General features: G+C 37.1%; 1 protein-coding gene across 51 annotated transcripts in view; it reads left to right on the forward strand.

The window, feature by feature from the left end:
- PAM (peptidylglycine alpha-amidating monooxygenase) overlaps positions 1–22976 on the forward strand; it is a 276323-nt gene that overhangs the window by 39935 nt on the left and 213412 nt on the right. For 8 of the 51 annotated variants that reach the window (XM_011543419.4, XM_017009497.3, XM_047417240.1 and 5 more), the window contains exon 1: positions 13481–13514. The exons of the other annotated variants lie outside the window; for them this stretch is intronic. The gene's annotated coding sequence lies outside the window, so the exon portion shown is untranslated. Of the gene's footprint in view, positions 1–13480; positions 13515–22976 lie in introns of those variants that run through there. 51 annotated transcript variants of the gene reach the window in all.

The raw sequence follows: 22976 nt of genomic DNA on the forward strand, positions 1-22976 counted from the left end.
TGAACATTCTGATGCTAATTTTTTTGTTTGATGACTATGTACTTTAAAATCTGGCATTGTCTTTCATGAGATTTACAAGTCCTGTGTCCATTGTGTTGTTTACTTAGGTTATTTGGCTTTCCTCAAACTTAAACAAGCATTAGCTGGTTGCTCCAAAGAGTAACAAAAGAAGATGCAGGAAAATGCTTGGGGCCAGGTGCGGTGGCTCACACCTGTAATCCTAGCACTCTGGCAGGCTGAGGCTCGCAGATCACTTGTGCCCAGGAGTTGGAGACCAGCCTGGTCAACATAGGGAAACCCCATCTCTACAAAAAATAAAAAAATTAGCTGGGAGTGGTGGTGGGCTCTGTTAGTCCCAGCTACTTGTGGGGCTGAGGCAGGAGAATCACTTGAACCCGGGAGGTTGAGGCCATAGTGAGTCATGATGGCACCACTGCACTCCAGCCAGGGTGACAAAGTGAGACAATGTCTCAAAAAAAAAAAAAAAAAAAAAAAGAAGAGAAGAAAAAGAAAAAGAAAAGTGCTTGGAATGGGAGATGAGTTATCCTACTTTGATACTTCTTGTTTCCTCTTTCTACTGATGTCTTTCTCTGCACATCCTTAGGTAAAACTCAAAAATTACTATTGAGATTTTTGCAGGAACCAAATGAGACAGGAAGAAATGTTTTAAACTGCTGTCTAACCTCTAATACTGGTGATGCCGTTTTTGGAGTACCACTAACAGTTTAAAAGTGCTTATCAGAGCAACTCTCGCTGCTTTAATTTGCGTGTACAGATTGCTGTTAGTGTTGTTACTATCTGTTTTGTATCAGGCTAGCTAATTTCCTTGTTTATTAACTAAATGACTTTCTTAATGGCTACCCTTTTGACAAATGAAGAAATCTTAGCTGCTCTGAGAGGGAAAACCAAAATTAAAAATTCACAGTGAAAGGGATGAGGAACATACGTATTTGTGCTGCTGCCGTGTGGTTGGTGTGAGAGAAAAATCTGGTGATTGACCTTGATCCCTAACGGAAAGTCACAAAAATATGTATAATTTGGTCTTCAGCCATAAAATAAATGGCAACTCTCTTCACTTAAAGCAGGGATTTTCATTCCTTTGTTTTGGGTGCGGAAAAGGGAATCTTTTCCAACCTCATTATCAGAGAGTTTAGTGCATTTTTTCCTGAAATGTTTTACAATTTCCATTTTGTCAGACACATTTTGTTGGAGTTCATAGTTTATTAACCATGAGTTATTTTTTTTAGTTTATACTTGAAGATTTAGAGGCCTGTGATATTTTGTTTAAAGGCTTCTAAATGATCCAAACAAATCAGAATATGCACCAGCCTCAGCAAAAACTCCTGTGATCTGTTGACAGATTTTTGGATCTGGGCCCTTGGAAGAGGCACTGGACATTTGTAACAGGAGGTAATTTGAGATCTGTACAAACAAGTTTTTATTTGTTCAAGTTAATGAGGGCAACACCAGTGGAGTTGGACCCTCTGTAGCTAATAGTCTGTGAGCTCCATGGGCCCTTCATGAAGTCAGTCTCCAAAGGTCACCTGCAATCCATGTTAGGAACCAGGTTTGTCGGTCAATAGTCTAGGACTCATAGATCGATCTGTGCCTCTGCAACCAGGGAATCTGACATGGTACCAAAATGTTTATTTATTTCCCAGATGTCATCCCAGAGTTTGGGCAATGAGATTGGATATTTGCAGTTCCACACAGTGGAAATTCACCTTTTAAATAAGGCAAGAAAAATTGATCTTCCTAGTGTCTGGTAGGAGTCTGGTAGGAGTCATCTTTGCTCTTGGTAAGATTATAATTCTCTTACCTGTTTATTGTCATTTTTTTGAGCACCACAGTCAGCCAAATAAGATTAGAGAAAATTGTGAAAGAGAAAGCATTTCTTTCAATTCAGTCCTTTCATTCAACTCTCTTTGTACTTTGCCTCCTTCATTTTCTTTCGTTTGCTCATCACATTCAGAAGCTCACATTCCCTCATCTTACATGAGGGAAGCTATAAATTTCCCTTTTTGAAATAGTCATCTGCTATCTGTGTAACTATGAGCAAGCTGCTTAACCTCTTTGTGCCTTGGTTTTCTTATTTGTAAAATGGTAATAGATATTACCTGTGTCATAAAGTCGTTACATGGATTGAATGCATTAAGGTGTGTCTAACACTTAACTCAGTACCTGGTTGTACAAAGTGCTAAATGACCATTTATCTAATTATTGCTAATGGAACCTAATAATAGAATAATGATAGAGAGCCATATGCTTCATTGCCAAGTTTCAAAATGCTAAACAAAAATGAATTGTGAATTATTTTGAATGTGCAACAGCACAAGGGCTGGTGTTTTGCTTCTTCTGTAAAAAACAGACTTAAAGAATATCTTTAACATACCAAAGGACTGTTGGGTCATTCTTCAGAAGACTACTGGCATAAAAGAGATTGTCCTAAGAATCCCAGGAATAATAATGAGTCTCTTATTTTTATTGGAAAAGGAGACAACAACAGCCATGGAACTGGTTATTTTATGTATCTTCTGTAACTTTCATTTCTCTCATAATAGACATGGTGCTTTTAAAAATCCAATGTGAATGCTCTAAATCATAAGATCATTATTAAATATTATTTTAAAATTAATATGTCATGGTGAGTGTATTTCTGAGCCATCACATTCATAAACATTTAGAATATAACCTCACCCTTTTGCTTAGAGAATACCTTATGCAAAATGATTTTGAAGGACATTTTGTTTCCTAGTATGTGTTTTCAGCAGGTGGCTAATGGCTTTCGACCTGCTGTAGCAGTATACAGAACTGAATGTCAGGCAGAATATTTTTTAAAGCTGCATTTCCATTTTGCATAATGAAGCACAATAATTTTTCTGAGAGTGCCTTGAATATTTTTCCAAAGAATTATTGATAGAGATATGTCATTTTGGTAGGAAAGAGAAGAGAAAATTGGCAATGTTCCAGCATTTAGGTTTTAAGAATATTTAAGTATAATCAGATTGCTAAATACAAACATTTTTTTAAAATAGTATCAGGTCAAATGTATTTACATGTTAGAAGCCATATAAAGTACATGGTATTAGCCTTCCACCTTTCCTGTATGCTTAGGCCATTGTTCCTACTACTACTACTACTAATAATAACACACTTCAACCTACTCACTTTTCTCTTTAGTAATTTCCATTTTCTCTTGAAATTCATACAGTATATTCTATGGCCTATTTTTATACAACTTTAAGAATTATACATACTAAAGAATAATTTTCAAATTTTGTGTGAAAATAGACAATGGCATATACTATATATAATGACAGAGATTGCTTAGGGCCCCAGGATTAACAGTTTCAGATCATTGTCAATGTTAGCTTCAAGTTAAGTATTGGCACAAGTATTTTTATAGAACCATAGTCTTTGTCAGTGTGTATCACACTGAATAACACTCAAATTTGAACTCAGTGGAATTTTTGAGATAAAGATGTGCATTGCAGCCAGATCAGTGCCCAAAGTACCTCGTGGTATGGGTGATGGGAGACAATCACAATGTAAAGAGTTCTGTTTCTCGTACTGTATATATTAGAGCTGGCATTTTGCCACTGGACTATATGATGAGGGAGGAATATTGTTTGTGAGCTTTGCATTTAAAGCATAATTTCTGAAGCTGAGTTCTAATTTTATTTATTCCCTTAGGTAATTACTGGTTTTCAGCATGCGAAGGAGGTATATTATTGAATTTTTTGAATGGTTAAACTTGTATAGTAGATGTCTTTTCTTTAAATTTAGGCACTAAAAATTCTCCCGCATCAAAGTAGCTTGTGATTCTCATTTGTGGCTAGAGAGTTAATCATCTTTCGATAATGCTTTGAAGTTAGCTTTACTTCTTTTTTTCTTCACCCAGCATGGGTTCATGAATAAAACTAACCACTGATAGGTATAGTGTATTATTGCTCTTGCCTATGGCTCTTGCTAATAAAAATTGCAAATCTGGTTAGTTTGCTGGAATCAATTCAATGTAGTATAGGAATACATTTTTTTCTGTTATAAAGCCCTCTCACAGAAAAAAGATAGGAAGGAAAGCATGGTGGGTGAAGGGAAAAGAAGGTAATTCTGGATTTAAAATATTTTAGCTTTTCTGTCTGTATCGTGTTTTGTCTATAACTTATGTGAGTTTTTACTTCTCACTGTCCTAGAATCTTTAAAATTAAAAATCCTATTGCTTAGGATGAAATTACTAAAAATTCCTGTAAATTAATGTATATGAATCTGCTGTTGTGTGGATGAAGTAGCATAGCAACGTCAATAACTTCTTTTGAGAAAATGTGTGTGTTTGTTTTTAAAAGCAGCTAGGTAAGAAACCATCAACTGAAGAATAGGGTAGGTGATGCAACCATTGCTAAAATAACCTGGAATTCTGACAGTTTCTAAAATTATGTCAGCTTGCTTACAAGATTACTTAATCACTAAATCACATCGGATTTGGCATTTTAACAAACAGGATGCTTTGCACTAACATCATCAAAAGAATAGTGCCTGGATGCTTGCTTCACAATGCAACGTGTATATTTAGAAACCAGAGAACATGCCAGACTGAGTGATGATTGTACAAGACATTCCATACTCCATCCAGATGTATCAGGCTCAGGTGGAAAGACCCTTAAACTGTGGTTAGGGAGATACAAAAAAGGAGCTTATTTTTGCAAATTTTCATGCATAACACATTAGGTGGGAACATTGTCTCCAGAGTTGGATACACCCAATCAGTTTTAACTATTTCAAGGCTGGTCCCTTTGGGCAAATAAGTTATTCTATTTCAGCCACATATTTCTTAGCTATAGCGTAGGTATAGTAATGATATCGAATTTATACTATTATTTTGAGAAAAGTGCCAAAATGAAACGGGTAATGAACAAAAACTGCCAGTTCCAGAGCCTTAGAAATCTTTATCATTTATAATATTTTGCATATAAGGGAACACACTGTTACACAGGCTCCTACATGGCCTCAGACTCCGTCTCAACACACAACACCAGGAAGTCCCTACTATTTCACAGGTTGGCATTGAACATGAAATATATTTGCACTCCCTGAGCTAATTCAACTCTACCCGTCTTTTCTCTTCTTTCTATTTTGTTGACAGCCTCCCTAATGAAAATATCAATTCACATACTTGCAAAGGTGAGGATGGAGAGATTGGTTATCCACAACAATGTTTGGGGACTGTGTTGAATGCTTTACAGAGATTTGTGTTAAGTAGGTGAATCCCAAATTTACATTTCCAGTCTTATCCTCTACCACAAGCTCCATTCATGCATTCATTAATTACCTGGCTCCTTTATTTCATTGTCTAATGGGTATCTAAACTTATTGTACTCACTATTCACTGTCCTCCAGCCACACTGGGCTTCCTTATGTTCCTTAAACATTCTAAGCTAATTTCTGTCTTGGGACCTTTGTTCTTGCTGCTTTCTATGCCTAGAAGCTTCTATTCTTCGATTTTTATGCATCATGTTCCTTCCCCTTATTCAAATGTCATTTCTTCTGAGACTGAGGTTTCTCTCTGCCAACTGTATCTCAGTCATTCCCCCATCCAGTCAGTCTCTTATCCAGTCACTCTGTGGTATGGTTCTTCAGAGCCATTTTGCATGTATACGAAATTGTAATTTATTTCTTTAATTTTTCCTTGTTTTACCTCTCACTCTAAAATACAAGTTCTCTAAGAGCAGTGGCCTTGCCTGGCTCTTAGAAGTGCTCTCAGCAACCTTTAGAAGTGTCATTCTTTTTTCCTTCATGTTATAGGTGACAAAAGTGAGGCCCAGGGAGGTTAAGTAGCTTGCCCAAGATCGCAGAGATTGGAAGTGGCAGAGCTGGGATTTAGGTCCCATGCTGTGCTCTAAAACACTGTGCAACATTGCTTCCTTTTTCACAAATGAAGGTCAGGGACATTAATGGGAGGGAGGGGGCTACGCTGAGTTCTTGGAACTCCCTTTGAGTCCCTGGGCTGGCAGTTATTGTTTGAGTCCCTGGTCTGGACATAGACAGACAAGAGCTGGTCCTGATCACTTTATACTCTATCACCCTGGGCTTATCTTCTCTTCCCTTTTCCTTTTAGACTTAGTGCCCAAGATATGTGTAATTAATATTTTACAGGAATGCATGAAATCCCCTACTGCTTGGGAAAAAACAATGAAACATCAGATTTTAAAGAAACTCCCAAAGGGCTAGAATCCAGTTTTGAACCCAGATGGAATTTTCCACATGGCTTAGAAAATATATAAGTATATATATTTTATATACTTGCTGTTTTCTGAGCATTTCTTACTTGACAATGGTTACAACTGTAGCTTTCTTTTTGTGAGTTTGCATTAATAACATTGCTTTGGTTTTAACTTGCTTACTGTAACAAGTTATTATATTTAACTTAGTCCTTATCGACTGGAGGGTTCCACCTCACCTCACCATGTGATACTGAAGCTGAGCTATTTATATTGTTTTAACTAGACATAGTATAAAATAAAACAGGTTTTCTTGTAATTTATATCATTAAAACATATAAATTATCTTTCAGCTTTTAGGAAAAGAAAAAATCAGGGCATTCGATTCAAATGGGATAATTCACAGCCCGCAGATTATAGGGGAGTAATTATTGATGCTTTTTATTCTAGGACATTTGGTTTATGTGGGCTGCATTTGACCTTTTAGAAGCTATTGACATCATTTGGGAACTGCCAGTAAACCTGCCTTAATCAGTTAAACAGAAGGAATCGTAGCACTGTGGAACTGACTGGCTGATTAATTTAAATCCAAACACAGTCCTGCCTGAATACCCTTTGTAAAACCCTTGCACAAAAAAACCTTGCTTCCTTCAGAAGCGTTATAACCCACATCCTGCTGTCAGATCTTGTCGGCTCTGCTGGTCTTCTTAGGCTGCAGGCATCATCCTTAACCCCTCTTATGCTTCCTTTTATTTCATGAAAACAATATCCATGGTTAGATTCACAAAAATGCTCTACATTTCCCTCAAAGTTCCTTATTTGTATCCTAGGGAAAAGGTATTTTTTTTTTTTTTTTTTTTTTTTGAGACGGAGTCTCGCTCTGTCGCCCAGGCTGGAGTGCAGTGGCGCGATCTCGGCTCACTGCAAGCTCCGCCTCCTGGGTTCACGCCATTCTCCTGCCTCAGCCTCCCGAGTAGCTGGGACTACAGGCGCCCGCCACCACGCCCGGCTAATTTTTTGTATTTTTAGTAGAGACGGGGTTTCACCGTGTTAGCCAGGATGGTCTCGATCTGATCTCCTGACCTCGTGATCCACCCGCCTCGGCCTCCCAAAGTGCTGGGATTACAGGCGTGAGCCACCGCGCCCGGCCGGGAAAAGGTATTTTAAACTCCACTAATTGAGAGACGAAAATGGGAACTTATCTTAAACTAGCTTCTTTAGAAAAAGTATATTAGAACTTAATCCAGCTCTTCCTTTGGGACTTATAATCAAAATTAGAATCATGAAATGTTGAAGTAAGTTTTTGGTATTAGAGTAAGCCATCATGTATAATTCCTTTGATTTTTAGATTCAAAACATTGAAGGCTTTATAATTTGTGTTTAGTTTGGGGAAAATATTAAAGTTAATCAACTCTTGGGTGAGTTCAGAGCTAGTATAAAGATGTAGTTCTGGACCTTTAAATGAAAGTGAAATTAAAATCCTTTAAGGATAAAACTTTGCATAGCTTCAGTCTATTACATAGACTGAGAAAAGGACCCATACATGGGGCACTCTGCTGGGGTTGGTTGCAGAAGAGGGCAGATATTTATGCGGGAGAGGTCAAAGAATTGCCATAGAATACTTTCATAGCACATAGCATGTTGTATTGGAGCAGACCAACATCCTTATTTTAAATATTAAAAAAACTGAGGCCCCACTTAATTACTCAAACTCTTAAGGGCCCTTACTTGGCCAGTTTCTATTTCTGTATCACCCAGTTACAACACTGTTCCAGAATACAGATGAAGCCTCTCAAAGAAGGTGGTGTCATCCGATTATCTGTAGTTTTGTTTATTATTATTAATTATGATAACTACCGTTTATGGAGTGTTTGTGATGTGCCAGTACTGTATGCATTATCTTTATCTTCATAACTACATATGAGGTAGTACTATTGTTCTTCCCTTTTTGAAAATGAGGAAGTGATGTTTAGGAAAGTCATGGAGGCTAGCCTCAGCAACATAGCGAGACCCCATCTCTACACACAAAAAACATTAAAAAATTGCCAGGTGTGGTGGTGCATGCCAGTAGTCCCAGCTACTCGAGAGTCTAAAGTGGGAGGATTGCTTGAGCCCAGGAGGTTGAAACTGCAGTGTGCTGTAATAGTGCCATTGCACTCCAGCCTGGGCAACAGAGAGAGATTCTGTGTCCAAAAAAAAAGAAAGAAAGAAAGAAAGGAAGGAAGGAAGGAAGGAAGGAAGGAAGGAAGGAAGGAAGGAAGGAAGGAAGGAAGGAAAGAAGGAAGGAAGGAAGGAAGGAAGGGAAAAGTAATGCACTCAACTTGAATCACCAAAGCAGTCAGACGAGGTATTTTTTTTCCTTTGAGTAGGATAAGATGGTAGCTAGATGTAGGTAAGAGAAATGGGTAACAAGAGATGTTTCTTCCATCCCTCGTAAGTTGCCTGGAGAATGTTAGGATGAGGTGAGTAATGATGCCATAGGACATAAGTAAGGGAGAAAAATTAAGGCCATTCCAGCCTTAATTCTTTAGAAACAGTGGATTCACTGTGAGGGAATGGGAGCACACCTGCTCTCTGGCTGTGATGAGAAGCAGTAGAGGTCCAGGTGAGGAGCAGATTGGGGCATCAGGGACTCTAGAAGCCATGTGACACAGGAGGAACCATGGAATCATTTTGAGCCTCTGTTTTGTTTTGTTTTTCATTTCTAAAAGTGAAATTTTGATTTCTACCTTTCCCTACCACACTGGGTTCTTTAAAAGATTGAAAAAATTGAATTTTAAGCACCTTAGAAAAATAGGATATAATAAATTTTGTATTTATTTATTGAATAAGTATTTATTGAGGGAATGCCAAATGCAAGGCACGGTGCTATGTATAGAATAAGAGGTGAATATTGACTTTGTGTCTACCTTTCAGAAGATTAAAGAGAGTAGGAAAATAAGCAACTTGATAAATAACTATGCAAAAGTATGTTTTAAGTGCAGTTCTCAAGGTTAAGAACACCGAAAATTCTGAGAGGGAGCTGACTTCTGATGATGGGTCTTGAAGAACTGATAGGGTTTGGAATGGTAGGGAGGAGAAACAGGAGAAGTGTGAGGGTTGCAGGGGGGGATGGGGAGATAGATGTGGAATTCCAGGAGGAAGAAACAGTAAGAGCACAGGCCTGGAGGAGGGAAAGTATGGGGACATATTTGTGCATCAGATTGTCTAATTAGTTGTTGCTTAAAGTATCAGGAGGTCTCTCTGGTAAAGATGGGCTTACGCTGAAACGGTGAAATGTGCACTTGATTTAGCAGCTCACGGGGGAGCCTTTTAGAGTTTTGGAGTTTGGTGGTAACCTGGTCAAGGCAGTGTTTTATAAAGATGCATCAAGGACAAAGTGATATATAGAATTATTAAAGGGGCGAGACACTGGAGTCAGGGAAGCCAGAACATTATAAGATGCCTGATAAAGAAGACCTAAGCTAGAGGGGCAGTAGTGGGAATGGAACAGGAAGAGAAGGATCAGGGAAATTTGGTTGCTAACTGGATTTAAGGGTGATGGGGAGTTACAACCCTTTTGTCATTAGAAGTTCTTGGACTACTTTTTCATTAAGTCAGTATGAATTAGTTTTAATTAACATATTGAAATCCAAATGCTCATAATAAAGTCCCACATCCCACTGTCACTTTTCAGTCCTTGGAACATCTTAACTGGATTTAGAAAAAGTGTTCTATCAAGATCAGAGGAACCATGACTGTTGCTCATCTGGACTAGGAGGAAGCTCAACCTAGATTATGAGGCTAAGCTGTATCAGGATTAGGGGTGTTTTGCCTTATCCTCAGAAAAGTGACTTAGAGGAACCAGAAGAATGGCCGCTGTAGCTGACAGTCAGGGCTTTAGAAATCCTGGCCAAATTTCCTCTCTCAGGTGGGACTTTAACCCTCATTTGCTTCTGAATTGGCACTTGCCATGATGAATTCACTTAGTTTAAGAAAGAAGTTAGTTTCAGGGTCTTGCTCAACTCTAAACATCAATTTAAGGTGGCTGACTGGGAGAGAGATGAGATTTATAATACTTTTGAAAACTGATAGAGTTATTTCTTTAGGAAATAGTGCTGGTTTGTCTGTTTCTTATGAAAGGGAATTTTCCTTTTTTTTTTTTTTTTTTTTTTTTGAGACGGAGCCTCTCTCTGTTGGCCAGGCTGGAGTGCAGTAGTGTGATCTCAGCTCACTGCAACCTCCGCCTCCTGGGTTCAAGCAGTTCTCCTGCCTCAACCTCCTGAGTAGCTGGGACTACAAGCACGTGCTACCACCCTGGCTAATTTTTGTATTTTTAGTAGAGATGGGCTTTCACCATATTGGCCAGGCTGGTCTTGAACTCCTGACCTCATGATCTGCTCGCCTCAGCCTCCCAATGTGCTGTGATTATAGGCATGAGCCACTGCACCTGGCCCCTCATCTTCCCTTCTAACTACTGTTTTCTTTCAGTTTGAGAATTTACACTATTGTTTGGATGTCTTTGAAGTCTTAGGATCCTCTTGGGAAAGAAGTGTTTTTTTCTGAATAAAAGAAGGTGTACTGTTATCCAGCAAGAACATGTCAGAGCTCGATGGGGCCAGTGTTGCTATTGGGTAGGTTTTGCCCCTGCTCCAGGTCCGTTTCTAACCTCTGGACCTCATGCTTCTGTGGGTGTGTACTTCACAAGGTCTGTCTCTTGCTGTCCTTGAGAATCAAAGGAAGAGGTAATTTTGTTGGAAGTTATCAATTCAAGAAATAGTTTATGATCTCTAATAAGGTGGTGAGATCACGCTGACCAAAATATTTAGTGAAGTCGTGGAAGGAAATAGAACACTAACTAGTACAAGACACTGTGACAGTGTTGCAAATTAAGAGGAAAATAAAAACTAAATGAGGCCTGGAATTAGGGAATGGAGGTTGGATAAATTAGGCCTCTTTTCTCTAATGCAAGCCTCTCTAACAGGCCACATAATCTGGCCATGTGGGGCCATTTTTCTCACTCACACTTGATTTTTGTTTCTGCTGGTGGTCTTCCATATTTCCTTCAGCCATTCATAGTGTTAGAGACCTCTTGGTTTGGTCTTATTTTCGGATGTGCTCTTTTTGAAATGGTACCTTTTTAAAAAAACATCTAACAAAGCAGCTTTACTGTTGGACTGTTCTTTATGATTGTTACATCTCTGGAAAAGTCGAAACAAGTGCTCCCTTTTTGTGTGTGTATTGCCTAGATAACCTTTATTTGCTTTTTCCACCCTAATTCTGTTTAGACAGGTGGGTCATCTCCTCTTAAGAGTTGTTTGAAACAACCTTAAAATAGTCTGGCTAGCCTGTTAGGACCTAGACCACTGAAGCTGTCATTGGCCTTCTCTGAGGGCAGGTAAGCCAGGATTGCAAGCCCAGAACAGAGTTCGATGAATTTCCATTGTTTGAATTACAATAGTAACTCATATTCATAGTTAAAGACCTTTTAAAAGCATATAATATGAACATTGGAAGACTCTCCTTCAAACCTAGTCTGCAATTGACACTGCTAGAAGCAACACTTCTGGCCAAATGTCCTGGGTGTGTATCTTCTGGACATTTTTCAGTGCATATTCAGATGAATACATGTATTTATTTTAAAATTTGAATATATGTGTGATATATACATATATATACACACATACACACACACAGAGTTTTGTACTGTTAATTTATAGTAAACTGCATTTTTGCTTCTCAAACTCAGGATCTCAGAAGAACAAATGAAAGAATAGGAGTAATTCCATTTTGTTGGAAAGCTTTTGTACTTTACCTGAATCTAGAAAATCTGAATTACTGTATGTTTTTGTGAGGGCTGACTTTACTGTTTTGCTTTCAGAATTTTTTCTAATCTATATGGGAATGAAAAGCCCAACTTATCAATTAAGTTAAAATTTTCTACATATTCCAGATTGTAAATTGGTGCTATTGTAATCCATTTTACTATTTTTGTAAGCAGTATTATTGTTATACGTTTGCGCACTATTTACTCACAAGGGAAACATTAAAAGGTAGGCTTAGCTTCATCTAAATTGAAATAGAGATAATAATAGTTTCTTTGAACTAGCTGAGATCTAAATATACAGTACGGAATGACAACCTTCATTTTTGATTGTGATATGAATATCTTAAGATCTGGTAAGTTACTTGCTTATCTTTACAATTACAGTATTTGCAATAGCAAAATTAGACCTCAGTATTGTTTAAAAACATGTCAATGTAATATTCATGGAGAAGAAAACAATAGCTTTCTTAGTACAGATGATAAATTATATACTTATTAAAGTGTTGCATCTGATCAAATAAGTGTAGTATTTCATTATAGACTTGGTTTGATGTTGAAACATTGTTATTTTAAGCAATTACTTTAAACTGGATATTTTAAAGAGAGGCTGTATTCCTCTGAATGTGGGTCACAGAGGCAGAGAAGGACAAATAGTTTAAAGGGAGATTTAAATTATGTGTAGTTTGGAGGATTGTTAGAAGTAGAAGTAATTCTGCCTGTGATGGAAGAGACTTAACCAGAAAACTGTGGCAGTAGTCAACAGATACCTTCTGATTTTGTCTGGGTGTCATAATTAGGCAATTCGCTGGAGGTGTTTTCTGGATAAGTGATGTATTGGCAAGGATTTAGGAGATAAATAGACTGGGCAGCTGCCACCTCATGGAGAAGTAAATAGAGTCAGTTTTCATTGTTTTCAGTAAGCTGACCTCCAAAGGCATAGATGTGAGCTTTCTTTTGAAAGGAAATGAAGTATTCACCGTTAAGGATAAGGATGTTTGTAATGTGACAGTGTTAATGCTAGCTAAATGAGAAAGCCATATATGAATACTTAGACTGTTGCTACCTGGGAGCATTATTTATTGACCTGTGCCTTCGTCAGAGCTTCAGATGTGAGGGGAATGATGCTAATAGAATCATGTAAAGATGTTTGTCATTAAAAAGTCACATCGCAATTAGTAGATTCAGAATTCATCGAGTCCTCTTGCTCTGTGTCACACCCGCTGCCTCTGTGACAACCTTCATTTCCTACTTAGCAAATCCAAGCCTGGTAGCTGGAGCCCCAGGAAGTTGTTAAAGCAATTAAAGGCTTCTGTCTCCCAGCACATTGCTTGGTTACCATAGTATCCTCTGCCTCCAAGTCTCTCCTGATGATGTCAGTATGCATACAGGGGTTGTTCAGATCATCTACGTGGGGATGATTCACCCCACAATAAAGCCCCTCTCTCTCGTTGCTCGCTTTCCAGTGTGATTTCAGACATCTGTAGCAATGGAAGGTAAGTGCCTTGTTTTGCATATTGAAGAATTACTAAATGCTTCTATTATTCTGTTTCAGGTTTCTTGCTTTCTAAGATATACTACTGACTGAAATCATAGTGAATGGGAGCATCCAGTCAATTACTTAGAACAGATTTGTAGTTTGTACTTAAAGTGTGTGTGTGTATGTGCATAGGTGTGTGTGGGCAGGCACATGTGGGGTAGGCTTATAAAGAAAACTGAATGCACAGTGTAACGCCTGCTACTCTCCCTGGTAAACAGCAATAGCTTTTTATTTCAAACTATTCGAAATATGTAACTTCCTTAAAATATTTTGACAAGTGTCACAGGGCAAGTAGGGCTAATTTTTAAAAAGTGTGTAAGTATATTGTATTGGCATTTGATATGTTTTACCCAGTTTAAATGATATTAACATTTGAAATATCTAAGATGGTATGGGAAGATACTAGAAAGAAGAACCATGCTGAGAATTTGCATGTTATAGAAATTAAAATATGTAGGACAAAGATTTAGTTGGTGAAGGGGAGATGTATGAAGTTCAAAGTACAGTGATAATCATCATTCCATAGTTATGCCACACTTTTATAGCTTTTCAATATCTCACACAATTTGATTGTAAAAATAATGCTTCTATTATTGTGATGAATGCAATTAGTGCTTCATGAAAGTTTTCCTTGAATATGTATCCATCCTTCTTAAGGATAATCCAGCTATGTTCAGCTTTACAGAAAGAATATAGTAGAACCACTTATAACATTCAGACAGAACAGTGATACGTGAATATTTTCCTTGAGAAGTTAGTGCTGTTTCAGTTTTTCTCTGACGGTATGCCTTATCAATAAACAATAAATAATGAGACACATGACCGGTTCCTCTCTATCAGCCTCCTTCTGAATCTCTTCATTCTGAGAGTTCTGCCCATAAAGTTAGTCTTGCATTTATTTCTTCTTCTTGATTCCCAAGGAATGATTCAGTAGTACATTCTGTGAAGAATGTAATACTTGGCCAGGCACAGTGGCTCACGCCTCTAATCCCAGCACTTCAAGAGGCGGAGGTGAGAGGATTGCTTGAGCCCAGGAGACCAGCCTGAGCAATAAAGCAAGCAAGACCTGTCTCTACCAAAAAAAAAAAAAAAAAAAGAAAACAAAAAACAAAAAAACCCTTAAATTTAATGGAAGTGGTAGATAACAGCAGTTTCTAATTAATTAATAGATAGCTTTGCAGAGAAAAAGAACAAGAGTAGAGTGGATGGACTGGAGAAGGCTCCCATTTCTTTATATAGTTGAACGTTTATTCTGTGTGGAAGGTAGGCAGATGGCGTTGCTGACAGGTGGGTAAATGGTTTAGACTGTCCCTCCCTAGAGAAATGTCTAAAATTTGCATTTTGTTTCTTGTATTTTTGAAGCCTTTTTAAATATACCCTTCTGTCTAACTTGCTTTATTTCTGCATGAGATGATTCGCCTTTCTACAAAGAATCAGTGAGAAGTACAACTGTGAGAGAGGGTGAAACATTGCTTAAAAATTTAAATTTAATTGCTTTTAAGTGAAGGATATGTCTTATCTTAAATATCGTAATGCTTAGTCTTTGAATTTCTTTCTGCCCTGAAAATAGTCTAAATGCTTTGACTTCATTTCTTCACTATTTTGAATACTTAATCCTGTTTGTGTTTGAAAATTTACTTGTTCATTGCTATCAGAAAATAGTTCCTAAGAAGTAGGAAAAATTATGATACTACCTAATTTAGATTATAATAGGTTAAATATTGAAGAAAGTAAGTCAATATAAACTGTTTCTATACTGTTTAAAACCTTTTCATTAAAACACTCACCTAATACTTATGTTGGAAACAAGAATAATATAGTCTAAGCTAAATTATATTAGGTTTTTGTTCTTTGCCATGTTAATGTGTGGGGTGACATAATTTAATTTCTTCAATAACTAGCTCTTTGTAGTAATAATTACGAAATATTTCTGCCATTTTGAACCCTTAAAATATCCACGAAAATACACTTTTGCTGACTTGATTGATATGAGCAGCACTATAAAGAGTGTACTATAAAGATTACAGTTTCCTTCATGCTTGAATCAGGGAGTAGTTCCAAGTAGTTTTAGGCAGTGATTTTTAAAATTGGTTTAGGAAAGTTTTTACTTTATTTTTATGCTCTAATAAGGATGTTTTAAATTTTACAGATACTTAAACTTGTTTTTGCTGAAATATGGAAATGTCAGGTCTGTAGACTTTTCCAGCATGAGATAAATGAAATATGGCAGAAAAAGGATCACCTTGTCTCTCACTAGAAAGATAAGAAGTTAAGGCCAGGTGCAGTGGCTCAGGCCTGTATTCCCAGCACTTTGGGAGGCTGAGGCAGGCAGATCACCTGAGGTTGGGAGTTCAAGACCAGCCTGACCAACATGGAGAACCCGTCTGTACTAAAAATACAAAATTAGTCAGGCGTGGTGGCGCATGCCTGTAATCCCAGCTACTCAGGAGGCTGAGGCATGAGAATTGCTTGAACCTGGGAGGCGGAGGTTGTGGTGAGCCGAGATCGCGCCATTGCATTCCAGCCTGGGCAACAAGAGCGAAACTCCATCTCAAAAAAAGAAAAAAAAAAGTTAAATCAAACCACTATCCAAAAGAATTAGAAAAAGTTCTGTGGGGAACATGGACTTGGAAATAAACATTTTGTCCAGTGGTAGGAGAAGCTTGGGTTGTGAGGGACTGGTTAAGTGCTTTACTCAGTTTTCTGTGTTCACTCAGTGGCAGAGCGAGGGCTGATTGGAACTGGTGCCCACCCTTCTACAGGCCAGTTTTCATTTTCATGGCAGCATACTCTCTAGTTGGAGTTGAGCACTTTTTCCTAACCAACCTTTAAACTTATTTTCTCCCATTACAAGAGTGATGAAAGTAGCATAATAACTATTAGTTTTCTACTGTTGGCTGTAACAAATTGCCACCAACTTGGTGGCTTAAAAAGTACAAATTTATTATCTTACAGTTCTCTTGGTTACAAGTCTGACACAAGTCTCACTGCACTGAAACATCAAGGTGTCAGAAGGGCTACATCTCCTTTCAGGAGGCTCTAGGGGAGAATTCCTTTCCTTGTCTTTTCCAGCTTCTAGGGCCATCTGCATTCCGTGGCTCCTGGCCACCTCCTTCCATCTTTACAGCTTGCAAGTACAGACTGAATCTTCACTTTGCCATCTCTCTGGTTCTCTGCAGCCAGGAAATTTATCCACTTTAGAAGAGTCATGTCATTAGATTGGGCCCACCTGGATAATCTAGGAGACTCTCCCCGTTTTAAGACCCTTAAACTTAATCACATCTGCAAAGTCCTTTCGGCCATGTAAGTTAACATATTCACAGGCTCCAGGAATTAAGACATGGATATCTTTGGGGGCCATTATTCTACCCGCCATTGAAGGATAACAAAATGCATGGCTGATTTAATCTACATTAAATTCACACATCTGATATTTTTGCTGAAAATCATAAATTAAACTAGTGATTGCCAATAGAGACTATGAAACTTTGACCTAATTCATTGGATGTAATCATCCCCAAGGATATTAAAATGCCTCAAAATAATTAATGTGGGAAATTCAGATTAGAAAGAAATGTTTCACCAACTCAAATGTTCAAAACTCTTAGGTACAGATGGGAGTCTCGTAAAGTGACACTATTCTTAGTTTAATATTTTTATTGAGAGGCTCACATCAGATGAAGTTAATTAAACAAAACTGATTTGGGACTGCAAAATTTCCATTAGTTAACTCCTATGTGAATCAGCTGGGGTTTCTTTAGAAACAGAAGGGTAATACCTGGGCCACTAGAGAGCCAAATGTGAAATCTAGTAACCCTGAGTTTTGAATAACACTGTCGTTTATGGATCTGGCATTAAGCCATATGAGTCACAAAACCTAGCAGATGAATCTGACAGTTATGCCCTATACAGTTTCCTAGGAAAGGTACAATATATACATTAATCAATAACTTTAAACATGAGGGCAACAGCTGCAAAAATAGTTTCTTTTATTGTTCACATCCTGTGTTAATCATACATTTAAGCCAAATGATAGCACATGGGTCCATCCACACAAAGCGTAAGATAATTTATATCTAGTAGCTGTATTTTAACTTCTGCTAAATACAAGTGGTAAAGATGCAGAAGAGAGACTACTGTAGTATGTTAGTTTTGGACAGAAAGCCTAGATTTACATTTTGCTGTGGTTCTCTGAAAAAAAGGAGATGGAAAGAAAACCAACTGTTTTCCTACACATATTCTTTTTTTATTTTTGGAATCATTTCCTGGAGAAAAACTAAATAGTACCTTAGGACCCTTGCTTAGACAATGGCTTGTGAAAATTACATTTCTTTGCAGGAAGTAATTATTTTTACACTGATTCTTTTTCATACCACAGTGTACAGCAACCTTAGGATTCTATGTTTAAAAAATCTGATTTTATGTCATTATGAGATTGATTTGTCAATCAAAATACCATCATTAAAGGAGAGATATTATTTAACAATGAAGTTAAACATGAAAATCAGCTGGCTCTTTTATTTAATAAATAATGAAATAGCAATCTATCAAAAATACCTCCATAAATAAAATATACATTTAGTTATTTCTTTATGTACATAGTAAGCTCATTTCAATGTTTAGTTTCTTTTATCTATCAATAGTATATACTAATGCAAGTGCTCACGTAAATAAAAACAAAACCCAAATACCTTTAAACATTTGAATATTTTTAAAAAGTATACAGAATATTCAATTTAATATGTATTTTATCCTACTACAGTAAATTAGAGAAGAGATGAAATCTATTTTGCTTATTTGAAAAAAAAAAACCTCACAGAGCTGTTGCCTTCTTTGTGATAGAAGAGATTGTTTAATCTTTAAAACATTTTGAACTGACTCAGTTGCTTTACTAATCCCTTTACTTTGTTAAAAATTATCTTTAAAGTTTACCTTTGAGAGAAATCAGAGATAAAGGAACTAATGGAGATGAGAGTTTTGAGATTTTGAATCTTTCTTGGTCAGTGGGCGTGGATAAAATAGAAGCAGACTTCAAAATCAGAAACTTCAAAGATCTTGATTTCTCACCAACTATATTGAAAACCAGTACAGAGTTTTATTTCCAGGGGGAATTTTTCCCAATGATGGCAGTAAAGTCATGCAGCAAGTGAGCAATGGAACTAGGAAGTTATCCTACGTCGTAACTACTCCAAAGACATTGCAGATCAGAGAACCATTGCAAGCTCTCCTCATTTTTCTCACTGATCTTTCTCACTTAATCTCACTGATTCAGTTGTTTTTCTTTAATTTATTGTTGCTTTAATTTTACTTCCATCTTTAAATGAGGGCGAAACTTGCAGAAAGACATGCAATTATTGAAACTGTTTATGAAGAAAGTTGTTTTACTTTAATTTGTGGAATGCCCCATTTCTGCCAATGTCTGCTATGGAAATGAAATTCTATAACTGGAACAATTTTTCCATTAACTCCTCTAAAACAGTCTACTTTGGAGTGAGGATTAATGGAAATAAAGGGTACTCTTTCTGCAGGCAAAATCTTGTGACCTGGGGCAAATAGGGAGAAGAAAGGTTAAGCAGCAATACCTTAAAGGGCATGAAGCCATAGGAACAGATGGTAGCCATCTTTTGTGGGGGGTTTGCTATGACCAGTGCACTGGGGACTAGCCAGATTGAAAAGCTTAGAGAAGACTGTGCCCCATACCTGTTGCTTACTGTTTGTCATAGATGATTTTACAAAAACTAAGGAGTCTGTGGTAGGGGCAGGAGACTGGTTTCTGGATGTAGCCCCAGCAATGCTGGGAAATAGAACTGTTCCCGTGTGCTTTTTCTTTATGCCAAGGGTGCATGAGGGGATGGCAACTGGAGACCATCAGGTCCCCTTTAGTATTTATAAGCAAGGGAATGAGCTCACTAACGCAAAGATTTTAGTAAATTCAAACCTTCCAATAAGAAATTTATGCTGCAATTTAAGCTCAAAACTTCCCAAGAGTCTCAGTAGAGAAAATGACAGAGGAATATGATTTACTAATGGTGTTATTAGAGTACAAGAGTCAGGTGGCATTGTTTACCTTATTGCCAAAAGTCAGTTCTGTCTTCTTCAATCAGAATACAATCCAAGCAATTACTATTGAATGCCCTCACGTGGGTGATGGTGCACTAAGTACAATGCAGAATTAATCAAGGGACAGTGTGACCTCAGATCTCAAGTAGTTTAAGCCAAAAGCGTCTCTCTCTCTCTCTCTCCCTCTCTCTATATATACATATATATTGATATATACATATATATAGATATATACATATATTGATATATACATATATATTGATATATACATATATTGATATGTATATAGAGGATAACTTTCTTATTACTTAAAAGCTATTATTGTTTTATTTTCATGGTAATTTTTGCCAAGCAGCAAATTGCAGTTGGGATTTCATAAATTCATTTTATTTGCATTCAGTGAAAGAGTATATTTTTCTTAAAATTCTAAATTGATGTATTTACTTGATGGCAGATCTGCAGTTATTCCATTAAGCTTTGTATCTCTGCCCTATGCTTTCCCAACCCCCATCACACTTGCCTGACTGTAAAACTCACATATCTTTCTTTTGTGTTCTTTCTGTGATAGAGTTTTCCCCTCTTTCTTATACAAATCCATGTGTGCAGCACACATGCACACACACGCACCCCCCATACACACAGTTACTTTACAATGAGCTGTTCTAAACCTAGTCCTTCTCTTTACTTTTATTCCTCTATCTTCCTTTAGTCTCCCTATAACTTGTATTTTAAGCAACCAACTCCTATTTATTGCACCCCCACTGAATGTAAAACACTATGCTACACACTGGGGTCTCCCCGTCATTTCCCCACTGCAGATCCTTGCCTCTACAGTTAACAGTATTTCCTTCTGATGGGGACAAGTTAGGTAAAATAAAGGAGATAGTGGGCAGAAGGAAAGGATGTTGTTGGTTATAGAGCGAAGAAAGTAAAGATAGAAACCAGGAGAAAGGGAACTGAAACAGAGCACCGAGATTGTGTTGGGATTTTGGAATCGTGTTAGGGCAATAGGAGGAGGTAAAGAAGCAGCAGCAGCAAAATGTTTTTGAGTGTTTTATCAGGCATTTTATGGTGAATAAAATAGATTACTATATTTACACATTGAACCTTCTGCATTAAATTACTAGTTTATCCTTTTCAGCTAGCTAGAATCCAAGTTTAAACACCCCCAAACCTTACTTACATTTCTTTGATATCACTGTAGCTATTCCAGTATCCTGCCCATCCTCTGGCCCCCATTTCTCCCTCTCTCTTGCTTAACTTTTAAAATGAAGTCCCTATTCAGAAAAAACTTGTGCTTCCTAAATGAAACCTAAAGAGGAAGTTGTTCTTATGCCAAAAATCAGCGTATATCTGACTTGATTGTTATCTAGAGTTATCTCCTAACATGTTAGCTCCATGAAGATTTTCTGATTAGGTTGAACTGTTGTTGAAAGACTGGTGGTGCAGAAACAATAAGTTGGCATTTGTCCAAACTTAGTACTAAGTGTTGAAAGTTGGAAGAGTAACTGATTTTTCTAGTCACTGTAGTTTTCATTATAACAATCTCCTTTATAAATTTGGTTTGCAGCCTATATATTTTTGTATCATAGCAGATTTTGCACTGGTTATCTAGTTTAAAGTTTCAGTATTTGAGATTTTTTCATCTTTTCAATAATGTCAAAGAAATGTTGGGTTTAGCGGTTTTTAAACTTGGGATCTGGAAAAAAGAAAAAGATCATTCTTGTTGAAAGGTTTCAGTGAGTCATCCAGAAATTTATACTTATGCCTCCTGACAGCCAGTAATTATTGGATTGCAGTTATTTTTCAGAAGTGTTTACTCCGAGTTGAGGTTTTATGTTATTGATGATCTGAATCATGAGTTTAACTCTCATGTTAATCCAATAGTTTAAGTCATCTGCCAGCCTGTGTAAAATTACTATTTTACCACTGGACACACATTTTAATTCTTTGCCACAAAAGCAGCATTGGGCTCAGAGAATTAAGGCATTCTCTGCCTCAAGGAACTTACATTATAGGAGGAGAGAGAAGATGAGAACACAGGACTGTGATGCCACACTGGTACAAATGCCCCTATTTCTTTTCTCCCCTTAGTAGCAAAACTGCTCAAGTACAGTCTGGGCATGTTGTTTCCATTTCTTTTTCTCTTGGTAACTCTTGAACCCACTTTTGAGAACCCTCCTCTCCTTCAAAGCCACTCACATCAGGATCACGGGTGGCTTCAGGTCAAGAGAGTGGTCAGTGCTCTGTCCTCCGCTGACTTGACTTTTCAGCATCATTTGGGACACGTAGTTTTTCTGTACTCCAAAAAGTGCCACATTCATCTGGTTTTCCTTCACCCTAACTCACTGTTCTTTCCAGTCTCATTTGCTCATGATCTTCCTGACTCTAAAAGTTGGAGTATCCTAAAGTTCAGTCCTACTTTCTTCTCTATTAAAACTCACTCTCTTCATGATCTTATTCTCTTATTAAGTCTCATGGCTTTAAATTCCATCCATATGCTGACAGTTTTTAAATTCATATTGCTGATTTGAACCTCTCTCATGAGCTCTAGACAATATATTTCTGCTTGGGGTATCTAATAAGCATCCTACAAATAATATGTCCCAAACTCCTGGTCATTTCCCTCTACCAAACTTGCTCTTCTATTTCCTATCTCAGTTATCCCAGAAATCATCAATATTAACATGTTGGTATGTATTTGTCCAGGCTCCTATGGGGATGCATGTTTATTTCTCACTCTCACTCATGAGATCATATTGTGTATGCTGTTTTCTTCCTCTTTTTCCCTCATTTACTGTGAACATGTTTTATATACTCTTAAATATTATTTGAAACCTAGCTGTTAGTAGTTACTTAGTTGTACCACAATTTATTAACTAATCCCTTGTAGTTGAACATTAGGTTGCTACCCTTGACTTACTATTATAATTAAAATTTAAAAAGAAATACTTCATCACTCTAGTTTTGTACTATCTCAATATGGTAGCCACTTGCTACATGTGGCTGTTAAGTAATTAAATATGGCTAGTCCCAATTAAAATATGCTCAAAATGTGAATGCACACCAGATTTCAAAGATGTAATTTGAAAAAAAGATGGTACAATATTTCATTAATAATTTTTATATTAATTACTTAGTGAAATAATATTTTGGTTATATTAGGTTAAATGTGATATATTTTTAAAGTGATTTCATTTTTGCCTTTTTGCTTCTGAAAAAAGCAAAATTACTATCAGAAAATTAAAAATTAAATGTATGGTTCACATTATATTTTTATTGGATGGCACTATCATTAATTCTTGCTTAGATTTGTGTAACAGCATTTTAACTTGTCTCCTGACTCCTGCGGTCTAAT

This window comes from Homo sapiens, chromosome 5, assembly GCF_000001405.40.
Source record: "Homo sapiens chromosome 5, GRCh38.p14 Primary Assembly".
NCBI classification, from domain to species: Eukaryota; Metazoa; Chordata; class Mammalia; order Primates; family Hominidae; genus Homo; species Homo sapiens.